Source organism: Homo sapiens, chromosome 7, assembly GCF_000001405.40.
Source record: "Homo sapiens chromosome 7, GRCh38.p14 Primary Assembly".
Classification (NCBI taxonomy): domain Eukaryota; kingdom Metazoa; phylum Chordata; class Mammalia; order Primates; family Hominidae; genus Homo; species Homo sapiens.
In genome coordinates this window covers 46,683,799-46,697,352 of record NC_000007.14, presented here as the reverse complement: position 1 = coordinate 46,697,352, position 13,554 = coordinate 46,683,799, and the positions used below count along the sequence as shown (strand labels likewise).

Genomic DNA, 13,554 nt, shown 5'->3' with positions numbered 1-13,554 from the left:
ATGCCAGGGTAATTTTTATATTTTTGTAAAGACAGGGTTTTGCCATATTGCCCAGGCTGGTCTTGAACTCCTGAGCTCAAACCAGTCTGCCTGCCTTGGCCTCCCAAAGTGCTGAGATTACAGGCATGAGTCACCACACCAGGCCCTTTCTTGATTTTTTTAAAAAAATGCTCTTTCTTTATTAATGTAGATACAAGTTTCTAACCTGCATCATTTTCCTCCTCTGAAGAAGGTATTTTAACATATCATGAAAGGCAGGCCTCCTGGTGACAAATTCTCTCAACTTTTATCTGAAAACATCTTTATTTCTTCATTTCTGAAGGATAATTTTACTGGATATGGAATTTCAAGTGGGTGTCTTTTCTTTCAATAGTGTAAATATTTTACCCCACTCCTCTTTCTGCTCACGTGATTTCCAGAAAGAATTCTAACATAATACATTTCCTTGTTCCTCTCTGGGTAAGGCATTTCCCTATCTGTGGCTTCTTTCAAAATTTTCTCTTTCTCTTTGATTTTTCTGCAGTTTGAATATGATATGCTTAGATGCTTTTTAAAAAAACAAACAAACAAAAGGCTCTATCCTGCTTGGTTTTCCTTGAGCTTCCTAGATGTGTAGTTTGGTATCTGTCATTAATTTTGGAAAATTCTCCATTACTTAAGCCATTATTAATTCTACTAATTTTTTCTGTTTCTTTTTCTCTTTCTTCTTTTGCTATTCACATTATGGATCTACTATACCTTCTGTAATTTTCCAACGGTTACTAGATAATCTGTTCTCTGTTTTCTTATTGTTTCTTTCTTTTTGTCTTTCTTTTGCTTATTAAGTTTGAGAAGTGTCTGTTGACATGTTTCAAGCTCACTGTTTTTTTCTCCAGTTGTGTCCAGTCTACTGATGATCCCATCAAAGGCTTTCTTCAGGTCTATATTACTTTTTTTTTCTTTTTTTCAATCTCTAGCCTTTCTTTTTTATTCTTTCTTACAGTTTCCATCTCTCTGCTTATTTTTTCCATCTGTTATTGCTTGTTGATTACTTTTCCAATAGCATCCTTAGCATATTTTAATCATAGTTAATTTACATTCCTGGACTGATAAGTTTTATAATCCTTGGTGTATCTGAGTCTGATTCTGATATTTTATGTCTTTAAGGTTTTTTGTTTTTATTTTTGGTTTTGTTTTATTTTTGTTTAGCTTGTTTTGCTTTTTAATTTATTTTTGCCTTTTTTATGCCTTGTAACTTTTTTTTTTGAGAGCCAGACCTAATGTGTCAGGTAAAAGGAACTGAAATAAATAGGCCTTTAGTGTGAAGTTTACATTTATCTGGCTCAATTGTAGGTGTGTATACTGTTTTCTCTTGCTCTAGGTGCCAGAAGCTAACATTTTCTCTAGTATTTTGGATTATCTTTTCCGTTGTCTTGGATCCTCCTCATATAGAGTTTGAATCTTGTGGTCATTTTATCTGTAATTCCCTGTTATTATACAGAAGGCTAACTGATGTGGAGGTGGCGAGGGGGGTGTCTCCTGTAATACCATCATTCAATCTTAGTCTCTTAGTGAGACTGTGCCTCTGGGCTGTGACCTTTAGAATTACTTCCTAGCTCCCTCCCGCCTCCATTTAGGTAGGAAAAGAAGGCTAGAAATGGCTAGATTTTAGTATTTTCCTTTCCTTTTCCCAAGTCAAAAGCTAGCAGGGGTTGAGTTGGATATTTTTATTTCCCCACATTGGTAAGGCAATAAGACCCAAGTCAGCTGGTCTTGAGTGAAATAGTTTGCCTGTGGGCTGGACTTTATTAAGGAAAAAAGAGTTCTTTAAGCATATTTCAAAATGGTTACTTTTCCTCCCCTCTGCTGGAAGCTTGAGGGAATTTTTCTGTAATAATTCTGAGAACCTGGTGGGGCTCCTGGAGGTAACACGCAAGAAAGAGTGTGGATCCCTCTAATATTCGATCCCTTGGTGTTTTTAACTTTCAAGCTAGTCCACTTTGGGTCACCAGTATTTGCTAATTGCAGTTCAAGTATTAGCTCAGCTGTGGGCCTCTGCTCCTGGGCCTCTGCCCCAGCAGGCTATGATTCTTGGTACCTGCCTCTCCAGTTTTCCAGGCAGCAGTGCCCTATGGCCTCTATTATCTGACGGATCTGAAAAACATTATTGATTTTCAGTTTGTTCAGCTTAGTTCTAGTTGTGTGGGTATGAGTGGTGGCTTCTAAGCTTCTCTCTATTTTAATAGACTAGAAACTGAAAGTTTATATATTACTTTTTAACTTTGATGTGTTAAAGTATAGAATTATTATCTTTTGTGATTTCTTCTATTTTTTAAATGTAAAGATCTTTTTCTATTGAAAATATTCAATATCTATAGAATATTTTTCCTTTTTAAAAATAAGATATTTATGCTTTTATTTTTCATATTTAAAGTCAGGTGGAAGATAAAGTATTAGGAGAGATAAAATAATTTGATTTTAATTACTAATTGGAAATGCAGTTTGGGAAGAAGCTATGTAAATTTTAAAAACATTTGTTACATTACTCTATGGAAATATGATTGAAGGGTTGATTCTTAGAATTTCATTAAAAACACAACAAAGTTTGAGAAGGTTGAAAGAGGCACAGTTTACTTCATTCACCTAAAAATTCTCTCCTATTATCATTCACCATTTCTGGTGCATCCCTTCCTATCCTACCTTAAGCTGCTTACTGGTGAGGATCTGTCTTTTACTTTTACTATCTGTTGTTAGTGTGGAAATTAATGGTCAGGAAAATAAGTATAAATTTCTAATGCTAAGTTAAGTTTTTGATATTGCTGCATTTCCACAAATTGTTGTTAAACATGTTAAATTTCTCTCTAAATATTTCCCTGCTTTTTAAAACTTGTATCAAATAGCTGAAATGTGAGGTCTCAATACAATGACACAGAACTTTTCTCAATGAGCTTGCTTGAGATATTTCGTTTAATTCATTTGTATTTTCTGTTGTTTTAATGACCAGTTAGTAAACACTAGAATGAAAGACCCCAAACCTTGCCCAGTGTGTTTGAGAAATTATTGAAATAACTGTTGCTTATTTGTGTTCAATTCAGTTATTTTGACCCTTCAAAGAGATCACGTGACCGCTGATCTTCCTCTTCACTAATCAATTTGAAATGAGGTAGAATAGAAAACACATTATTTTCTAAAAGTAATTCTGATTTGTTCATCGTAACAAATTTAAAAAGCATAGTAGAAAAAGATTAGAATCAAATGTGGTTCCTCCTGCTTTGTCCCACCTGCCCTGGACGTCTTTGTCCCCAAGCCACACACATACAAGAGGACACACAGGCATGAACTTAGGGGTTTTGGTAAGCTCTGTAGGAACTCTAGCCTAGTCTCCTCAGCTGTAATGTCATGTGCTGTGAGGAGTTGATGAGATGACTTAGGTGCAATTACAGAGTTGGCCCGCAATGTTCTTTGTCTCCTCTTTCTGTCTGAGTGCTATGCCTCTAGCCTTGTGCTCATCCATTATTTAGGGAACATCTTAAAAGTGTTTCTCTGCCCAGGGAGAAGACACGATTTCATCTGATGTCAGTAATGTCTGTAAGGTTTAATATAGCAAAGAAAATCTGCATTAAAGACTGCAAACTAAGGGCTTGCATTTTGGCAGTTATTAAGCCTAACGGAAAGAACATGACCTAGGGATTTGGTGGTCTAATTTCACCTTTTGGACTAGTCATTTTTCTGACTGTGTATACTTGAGCAAATTTCTTAAGATATTCAGTTTAATTTCCTTATATATAAATTCAATTAACTTTCCTCCCTATGTTCCCACTAGAATTACAGAAAACCATGCCTGCCTAGAATTGGTACAGTAACTAAGCTCATACTAAATACTGAAAATATTTGTCTTATTATTAAAATTGTTAAAAGAAGCAATTATAATAATTATCATATCTTTCTGATAATAAAGAAGAGAATGGAAATTACCTGTCAAACTTTTTTTCTGTAAAGAACTGGACTGACAATCTTATATTTTGTAAAATTCCCAAAGCTGTATAAGAAAGACAACTTAATCATAGAGAGTCAAGTTCAGCAGAAATATACTAAAATGTAAATTTTAAATCACTTTATCATGATGCATTAGAATAAATTCTTTTCTATTTAAAACAATCTTACTTGCTAGAACACTTTGACAAAGTCGTTTCTACTTCTGAACACGAAGCTGCTGTGGATAGGTCCAAAACAATACTTAGATTTTGAGTTTATAATAGAAATTTGGAGAGTCCAGTTTCTAGTCTTATCTAGACCCATGGCAAGCCATTTCAACTTTGATGAAAAAGATTTAACCTATTTACTTCATAGAAGGGCTTTAGAGAAACAAAAAGAGAAAGCATACTATAATTCTTATGTTTTCAGACTCTGTTGTTAGGTACAGAGCAGAATTTTGAAGATGCATTAATTCTTTCAAGTCATGAAGGCAGTGTACAAGAGCAAGTTACAAAATGGCGGCCTGAGACCAAAAGAACCAATGAATTATCTTACAGAGACTTGCTTGTTTTGCTTCCTCTTTTCACAGTAAGTTATCTCAATTGTCCTATTTTTAAGTTTACTGATTATTTCTTCTGTCTACTCAAATCTGCTGTTGAACCTTTCTGGTGAATTTTTCACTTTAGTTATTATACTTTTTAGTATCCGAATTTCTATTTTGTTTTTATACTATATCTTTATTGATATCCTTGACTTGTTTGTACATCATTCTCCTAGTTTTCTTCAGTTCTTTATTAATTGTTTTTTCTTGCTGTTTGCACATATTTCAGCTGGTTGATTTAAAGTGTCTAGTAAGTTTAATGCCTGAGTTTCCTTGGATACAGTTTCTGTAAGTTTATTTTCTTTTTTTTTCCTGTGAATGAGCCATAATTTATATATATATATATATATATATATATATATATATATATATTTTTTTTTTTTTTTTTTTTTTTTTTTTTTGAGATGGAGTCTTGCTCTGTTGCTCAGGCTGGAGTGCAGTGGCACAATCTTAACTCACTGCAACCTCTGCCTCCTGGGTTCAAGCGATTCTCCTGCCTCAGCCTCCTGAGTAGCTGGTACTACAGGTGTGTGCCACCACACCTGGCTAATTATTGTATTTATAGTAGAGGTGAGGTTTCACCATTTTGGCCAGGCTGGTCTTGAACTACTGACCTCAAGTGATCCACCTACCTCAGCCTCCCAAAGTGCTGGGATTATAGGCATAAGCCACCATGTCCAGCCTCCAATTTTTTTTATATGTCTTATAATTTTTGGTTGAAATTTGGCACTTTGAATGTAGTAATACTAGAAATTAGTCTTTCCTCCACTTCAGAATTTGCTATTGTGTATTGTTGAGGTTTGCAGTCATCTATTTGTTTAGTGACTTTTCCAAACTATTTTTGCAAAGAATATATTTCTTCTCGTATATTGCCACCACAGTTTCTATTCTATTATCTCATCAGTTAGCCAGTTACCTGACAGAGAGCTGATGAAATGCTTGGAGTCTAAAAGAAAAAAAAAGTCTCCCAATCTTTGAAGACAGGCTCTGACTGAGGTAGTCCTTTAGGTCGAGCCATGTGTGACTCTGCCTTAGCCTTCACTTTCTGTTTACATGAAGCCCAATATTAGACTTACAATACTACGGTACTCTTAGATTTTTTCTGAATGTATGTCCAGTCCTGAGCATAAATAGTATACTTCATATTTCCTGTTACATCTGGAAACCCTTCAGAATATATATTTCCCCAAAGAAGCTTCCTTCTCAGCCTCCTTCTTCCCAGGCTTGTGGTAATCTTTGTTGCTTGCCTCATCTATGGTCCCATGCCCCAGAGCTCTATAAGTAGCTACTGTATGTCTTAAATTCTTTAATCAGATGCTTCCTGGAAAGCCACTCCAGACTGAGGGGCGCTGCCATGAGCCTAGGGATTAGGGAAAGTTAGATAGGTAAACAAAATGGACATAACTATATATTAATGAGACTTTGAAGCCTCTTTCTTCACTAAACACTCCGTTGGTATTGTGAGATTTCCATGGGATCTGAGAATTTTGAAAAAGTTGATATGGTCAGTTTCTTGTCAGTTTAAAGATTGTTTCCAGGGAGAAATCAATTGATGGGGCTTCTTATTTCATCATTTCCATGAAGTTACCTCCTCATTCACTTTCAAGTACTAGTTTATTGATGGGAAATCTGATTCTGCAATTAATATAAATTATGAAATAACAGTAATTGTGATTTTTCAAACCCTATTAAAACACATTTTATATCTTTCTATCAAGTGGTACAAAATATGTAAAGTTATTATGCATTAATAAAAATTTTGAGCAGAACAGAGTATTAGAATCCTTATTATCTGAATGAGGTTATTTTCAAGATGAAAAAGCAGCTGAGAACTGGAAGGAAGGTAAAGCATCTTCTTTGAGCCAATACTGATATTAATACCCAGGCCACCTCCCTTGTGAGGTAATGTCCTCTGCCAACTAAAGCAGTAGCATGTAACATAGATCATGATAAACATTTGTGACAGCATTTTACCTTACTCAGTAAATGAAGGCAAGCCAAGGTAACTGGTGGCATGAAAGTAGAGGAAAATAATTAGTGGACCTCAGAAGCCCTGCAAATAATCCTGTACAGTGACAGTGACCAAAAGTGATCGCAACAGTTTTTAAAGGTTTATTAAGTTGTTCATCTTGATTTTTCCATATGTGGCATATTGTCACAGTAGGAGAAGACTCCTCTTGTGTTTACTCTTTGAAGCATGGGTACATGGCTTTTGTAATCATCTGTGGCAGCAATAAATCATAATTTTAAAGCAATAATTTTTAATTAATTCATTTATTTACTAAGAAATGGCTGTAGCATCATACAAAAGGAAACTGTTATGCAGAGGGCAAAATAAATCCCCCTTCTGCTGCTTAAATGTGGTATAATTAAAATTATTAACATCTTTTTTAAAAGAGATCTTATTTTTGTAAGCAACTGTTTCAGCCTACAGAGCTATCTCTATCACTCATGGAGTGATATCACTCACAGCTGTTAATTTTAAAAAAGTATGTGAGTGTGGGATGGAGATGTTTATATAGTTTTAATGATGCAAATATGAAGGCTTGTAATTAGTGATTTTGGCAAAATAATAAGAATGTGTGGAGCTGAAGATAGACTCTAGGCCTTCTGCTATACTTTTAAGTTTGATTTATTTGTTCATTTATTGAAGATTTGCTAAGCACTATGCTGGGAATTGCAAATCAAAGAATATGTAAGATGCCATCCCCATCCAAGGTAAGTCTACGAATCCAGTTAATAAAATTACAAAAGTCAAGATGATGTCTTTGAAGCAAAGGTGATGTGCTAAATTGCATGCCGTAGACTGGCCCTGCCGCGACCCTTTCTGTATGCCAAAAACAAGCTGGGAATTGCATTGCCCAATATCCCTTCTACCCGTAGTTCCACATTTGAGTGGACCAACGAGAGGCACTCCCCCAGGTGTGAAAAGAGCAGTCCTTATTCTCAGGAACAATCTGCAGGGCTGTGTGGCTGGCCAGCATGGCCCTGAGGGCCATGTGCCTGAGGCTGTAGCTTGAATGAGCTAGTAGGAACTCCCATTGGTTATGGGGATTCTCACAGTCCCCATCCCCAGAGAGCTCATGAGAACCAACTGCTTTGGTGCTTTCAGTCTGAAGCCCTCAGGTCAGCCACCCTAACTTTTGATGGGTACTCTTCTGGACTTCCCATTCCCAGATCTCCCAGTGCTTCTGAAACCTTAATCTTTTAGTCCTTCTGACTCAGCACTGATGATGCATTTCTGTTCATAGACAAGAAGACAGACATCATTAATTTTTAAAAAATTACTATTTGACCTTTCGGAGAGCCAGCCAAGGAATCATGGATGTATGATATTTGACCTAGATTTTGAAGACAGTTTCTACAAAGAGAAAAGTGAGCAATGGCCACGCAGGTGATGAAGACAGTCTTCGAGAAGATGGGGAAACATAGAAACATATGACCTGCTCAAAAGTACAAGAGATTTTGCGTGACTAAAAATGGTATGGGAGGGGCATCCCAGAGAAAGAAGATGCAAAGTTGAGCTGACAGCAGACCTTCAAGCACCTCAAATTCCAGGACAACCAGAAGTCTTTCCTTAAGCGAGAAGCAGAAATGCATTTTGGATATTTTGCAAGAGTTCATGTAAGCTATATTAGTTACCAGAATTAGCAAATAAAAATACAAGATACCCAGTTAAATTTGAATTTCAGCTAAAGATATATTTTTCTAGTGAAAGTGTGTTCCGTGCAATATTTATGACATAGTTATGTTAAACTTATTTGTTGTTCATTTGAAATTCAAATATTATTGGGCATCTTTGCAACCCTTAGCATAATCAGGGCCTTTCACTTGGATTTCCTAATACCAGGGGCTAACAGAATCTTTAAGAGCCAGCTGTCATTATATATCATGTTCATCAGTCATTTTGGGCCTTTCAACCTTTTCTCCATAGACCTAAAGTTAAGAAAAAAGACATATTTGCAGGTTTGTGTGGAAAGCACTCGCTAGAACTGAAGCTCCCTGCAATAACTTTTGAAGTAGCAGAAATGGACTTAGGGCTCATCTGCAGGCACATTGCATCTTTACCTAATCTTCAGACACTGCTTATGGCTTGGATTGCTTAGGCCGTAGATTGATCATTAATCTTTAGGACGGTCCGGTGTGGTGGCTCATACCTGTAGTCCCAGCTACTCTGGTGGCTGCCCAAGACCTTGGGAGCCCCCCACTGTTGCATCAGCATTCCTGGATATGAGACATGGAGTCAAAGGAGATTGTTTTGGAGCTTTAAGACTTAATGACTGCCCTGCTGGGTTTCGGACTTGCATGGAGCCTGTAGCCCCTTTGTTTTGGCCAGTTTCTCACATTTGGAATGGGAACATTTCCCCAATGCCTATACCCCCATTGTATCTTGGAAGTAATTAACTTGTTTTTTATTTTACAGAATCATAGGCAGAAAGGACTTTCCTTGTCTCAGATGAGACTTTGGACTTGGACTTTTCAGTTAACGCTGGAATGAGTTAAGACTCTGGGGGACTGTTGAGAAGGCATGACTGATTTTGAAATGTGAGAAGGGCATGAGATTTGTGAAGGGCAAGGAGTGGGATGATATGATTTGTCTCTGTGTCCCCATCCAAATCTCATGTCAAATTGTAATCCCCACATGTCAGGGGAGGGACCCGAAGGGAGGAGATTAGATCATGGGAGTGGATTTCCCCCATGCTGTTCTCATGATAGTGAGTGAGTTCTCACGAGATCTGATGGTTTAAAAGTGTGTGGCAGTTCCCCCCTTGCTTGCTCTCTCTCTTCTGCTCCACCATGGTAATATGTGCTTGCTTCTCCTTTGCCTTCCACCATGATTGTAAGTTTCCTGAGGCTTCCCAGCCATGCTTCCTGTTAAACCTGTGGAACCGTGAATCAATTAAAACTTTTTTATTCATAAATACCCAGTATCAGATAGTTCTTTATAGCAGCATGAAAACAGACTAATACAGATGATATAGGACTAAACTGTACATAACTAATGTATACAATTTGATGAGTTTGGACATGTGCATAGACCTGTGAAGCTATCACCAAAATCAAGGAAATAAGCCTATCCAATATCTCCAAAAAATTCCCCATGTCCTTATGATTGTTTGTGTGTGTGTGCATGTGTGTGTCCATGCATATATGTGTGTGTTTGTGTCTATGTGGTAAGAATGCTACATGAGATCTTCCCTCTTAGTAACATTTTAAAGTGCCCAATGTTAAATGTAGGCACTATGTTGTACAGAAGATCTCTAGAATGTATTCATCTTGCATAATTGAATATTTACACTCATTTAACTGATCCTCATTTCCCCATCTCTTCAGCCTGTGGCTTTTTTCACTTAGTATAATTCCCTCCAGGTTTGCCCACATTTTTACAGATAACAAGACGTTCTCTTTTTAAGGCTGAATACTATTGCATCATCTGTATATACCACATTTTCTTTTTCCATTCATTGGTCAATAAACATTCAGGTTGTTTCCACATTTTCCTACTGTGAATAAAGCTGCAATAAACATGGAAGTGCAGATATCTCTGCAAGATATTTATTTTAATTATTTTGGATATATACCCAACAGCAGAATTCTTGGATTATATAGTAGTTCTATTTTTTTTTTTTTTTTTGAGATGGAGTTTTGCTCTTGTCACCCAGGCTAGAGTGCAATGGCACAATCTCGGCTCACTGCAACCTCCGCCTCCTGGGTTCAAGCTATTCTCCTGCCTCAGCCTCCTGAGTAGCTGGGATTACAGGCACCTGCCACCACACCTGGCTAATTTTTGTATTTTTAGTAGAGATGGGGTTTCACCATGTTGGGCAGGCTGATCTCGAACTCCTGACTTAAGGTGATCCACTTGCCTTGGCCTCCCAAAGTGCTGGGATTACAGGCCTGAGCCACTGTGCCCTGCAGTAGTTCTATTTTTAATTTTTTGAGGAGCTTCCATATTGTTTTCCATAATGGCTGTACCATGTACAAGTTTTCTAATTTCTCCCTATCCTTGCCAACACTTACCTATTTTTTGATAACCATTTTAATAGGTGTGAGATAATGTTTCATTGTTCTTTTTTATCAAGATTGATTTGGCTATTTGTGGTCTTTTGTGGTTCCATATAAATTTTAGAATTGCTTTTTTCCTTTTTCTATAGAAAATGTTATTGGAATTTTGATGGGGATAGCAATAATTCTGTAGAACACTTTGGGCAGTAGAGACACTTGAACAATATTAAGCCTTTTGTATATATATATTTGAACATATATATATTTTATAAATGTTTTATTTTTTCAGTATACATCCTTCATCTTAGTTAAGTTTATCTCTAGATATTTTATTCTTTTTGGTGCTATTGCAAATGGGATCATTTTCTTAATTTCCTTTTTGGATAGTTGATGTTAGTGTATAAAAACTCAAATGATTTTTGTATGTTGATCTTATATCTTGCAACTTTACTCAATTTGTTCATAATTAACAGATTTTTAGTGCTGTCATTAGGGTTTCCTACATATAAGATCATGTCATCTCTCAACAGATAATTTTACTTTTTCTTTCCTGATTTGGATGCCTCTTATTTATTTTTCTTATGTAATTTCTCTGGCTAGAACTTCTAATACTATGTTGAATAGAAATAGCAAGAGTGGACATCCTCATCTTGTTCCTATCTTAAATAAAACATTTTTCTGTTTTTCAGCAGTAAAGATAATGTTAGCTGCAGGATTCTCATATATGGCCTTTATTATGTTGCAGTAAATTTCTTCTAGACCTAGTTCATTGAGTTTTTATCATGAAAGTGTGTTAAATTTTGTCAAGTGCATTTTCTGTATATATTGAGATGATTATGTGATTTGTATCCTTCATTCTGTTAATGTGGTATATCACATTAATTGATTTGCATATGTTGAACCATCCTTGCAGCCCAGGAACAAATCTTACTTGGTAATGGTGTATGATCTTTTCAATATGTTAAATTGGTGTGCTCATATTTTGTTGAAAATTTTTGCATCTGTGTTCATGACAGATATTAACCTGTGGTTTTCTTTTCTTGTAGTGTTAAATGATCATTTTTAAAACACAAATGCATTTAAAGGCATTATTTCCAAAAAGATTCACCTAAACTTCAAATGTGTCATTTTCCTTGCTTCTAAAAATGTTTCAAGAGGACTATATAGCTGGATATATTATAGTTCATTTTAAATTTTAAAATAGTAGAAGGATGAATAATACTATTCAATTATTTTAAAAATTGCTACTAAATTTCTACTGTGGTCAAGGCTCTGTGCTGGCTGCTCTAGCTATCAGGTTGTTCAAAGCAGATCAACTTTGCAACGTTGCCTGTAATAGCACAGTAAAAGGTCAGGGAATGGGTTATGATGGAAGATTGGACAGAAACATCAGCAGAAAATGCAATTTTATAAATATGGTTGGGAGTGGTAGTTCAGGCCATTCAGAAAATTCTAGGTTACACCTGGAGGCAAGAGACTGGCCCTTTCCTTTACAAACATTTTGCTTGAAGTGTGTGGGCAGAAAACTGCTGCCCCCTAAAGGCATCCACGCTTTGGGTAGAGATGAGGCTATATTAGTCCTCATACAAGTGGGCATGACCAAGTCCTAGGAGAAAGACTTTGTACAGCATTATCTTCTTAGATTAATCACACGGGTAGATCCTGATCCATCTCTAGCTCCATGACTGGCCCTGATTACAAGAAATTATCCTGTTTAAGTTAATGAAATAGTACCTTATGCAAGCCCAAGGGTTACAACATTTTCAATCTTTCTTTAACTTAATCAGGTTTTTCTCTCTTTAACGTAGCCTGGGAAATTATAACAAGCAACACGTTCCCCTAACATGCATAACTATGGCATGCTTCCATACAATGAAAAAAAGAAACTATTTTTAAATTTCAAAAAAAGCACAAAATCTATTTTAATTTTTTTGTTTGTTTTCTATAACAAGCTGAAAAAATCAACCACAACAGAATTATTTGATTGTGTCCCAGCCTGGCACACAGTATTTACAAATGCTTGTACCCCCATCCTTCCAATCTACCCTGCCAATTTTTTTAAATGGAGAAGAGAAAGAGGAAAGGAAATAAAATTGCCCCATTCTGTTTTAGTATTTAAATTACTGGCACAAAAACAAACTTTAGCAATTTTGAGAACACTGGAATAGTAAAGCTTTGGTGTGTTCATACCCAAATTCAAAGCCAAACAGATAAGTGATTTTCAGACAGAGGCTTTACTGAAAAATCTTGAAGTGATCAAGCATGTTGGAGCATTTTACTAAGGTCAAATGATTGACAATAGCAATTTTGAAGCTGATCTGTGTTTAGGAACATTTGCATTCCCCAAGGATATTTTTGAACACTGGGTATGTGATTACTGGGATGATGGAGTTCAGGTTGAACTTGAATATTTCAGTGAATATATGAAGTATGTTGTTGGGTCTATAAGACTTGATACTAACTAGATGTTTCTGAAGTGACTTTTTTTTCTCCCTCTCAAATGAAAACCAGGACACATGCTCTGAGAAAGTATTTTTGTGATAATTCTGGTTAAAAGAGGCAAGTGTAATTGAGATGCTAATATACTGGAAGTCCTTACATGATTTGATAACCTTTAGATGCAGAGGAAACACGTGTTAAAACTATTAAAGCTAAACCTCGGAAAAGCCAGGCAGAGTTCTTGGGAGATGATTCTCCAGGGTCATTCATATTTCTGCTCATCTTGTGAGCACCGATAGCTTTGATTCTAGACTGCCTTCTCACAGAGGGTTGTACAGGGGACAGCCTCTGAAGATAGACACAGAGTATCCCTCTGAAGCAAAGGGCTGGTTTGCTTACTGTCCAGGATGATAAGTATAATGTCTTCTCCCAGTATTGGCAGTAAGTTTGTTTCTAGCCTGTTTTTGAAAGCGGGGTTCCCCGAGCTTGGGACTCCTCAACTATGATGCAAACAAGCTTGTGTTTTGCATCACAGGAAATGTTGGCCTCCACTC

General features: G+C 36.3%; 1 long non-coding RNA gene across 1 annotated transcript; it reads left to right on the top strand.

Moving 5' to 3' along the window:
* Window positions 1–230: 230 nt before the first annotated feature.
* Window positions 231–9,474, top strand: LOC730338 (uncharacterized). The gene is made up of 3 exons (NR_134575.1): window positions 231–350; window positions 4,384–4,542; window positions 7,807–9,474. It is a non-coding gene; the product is annotated as an uncharacterized LOC730338 (long non-coding RNA).
* Window positions 9,475–13,554: the final 4,080 nt, after the last annotated feature.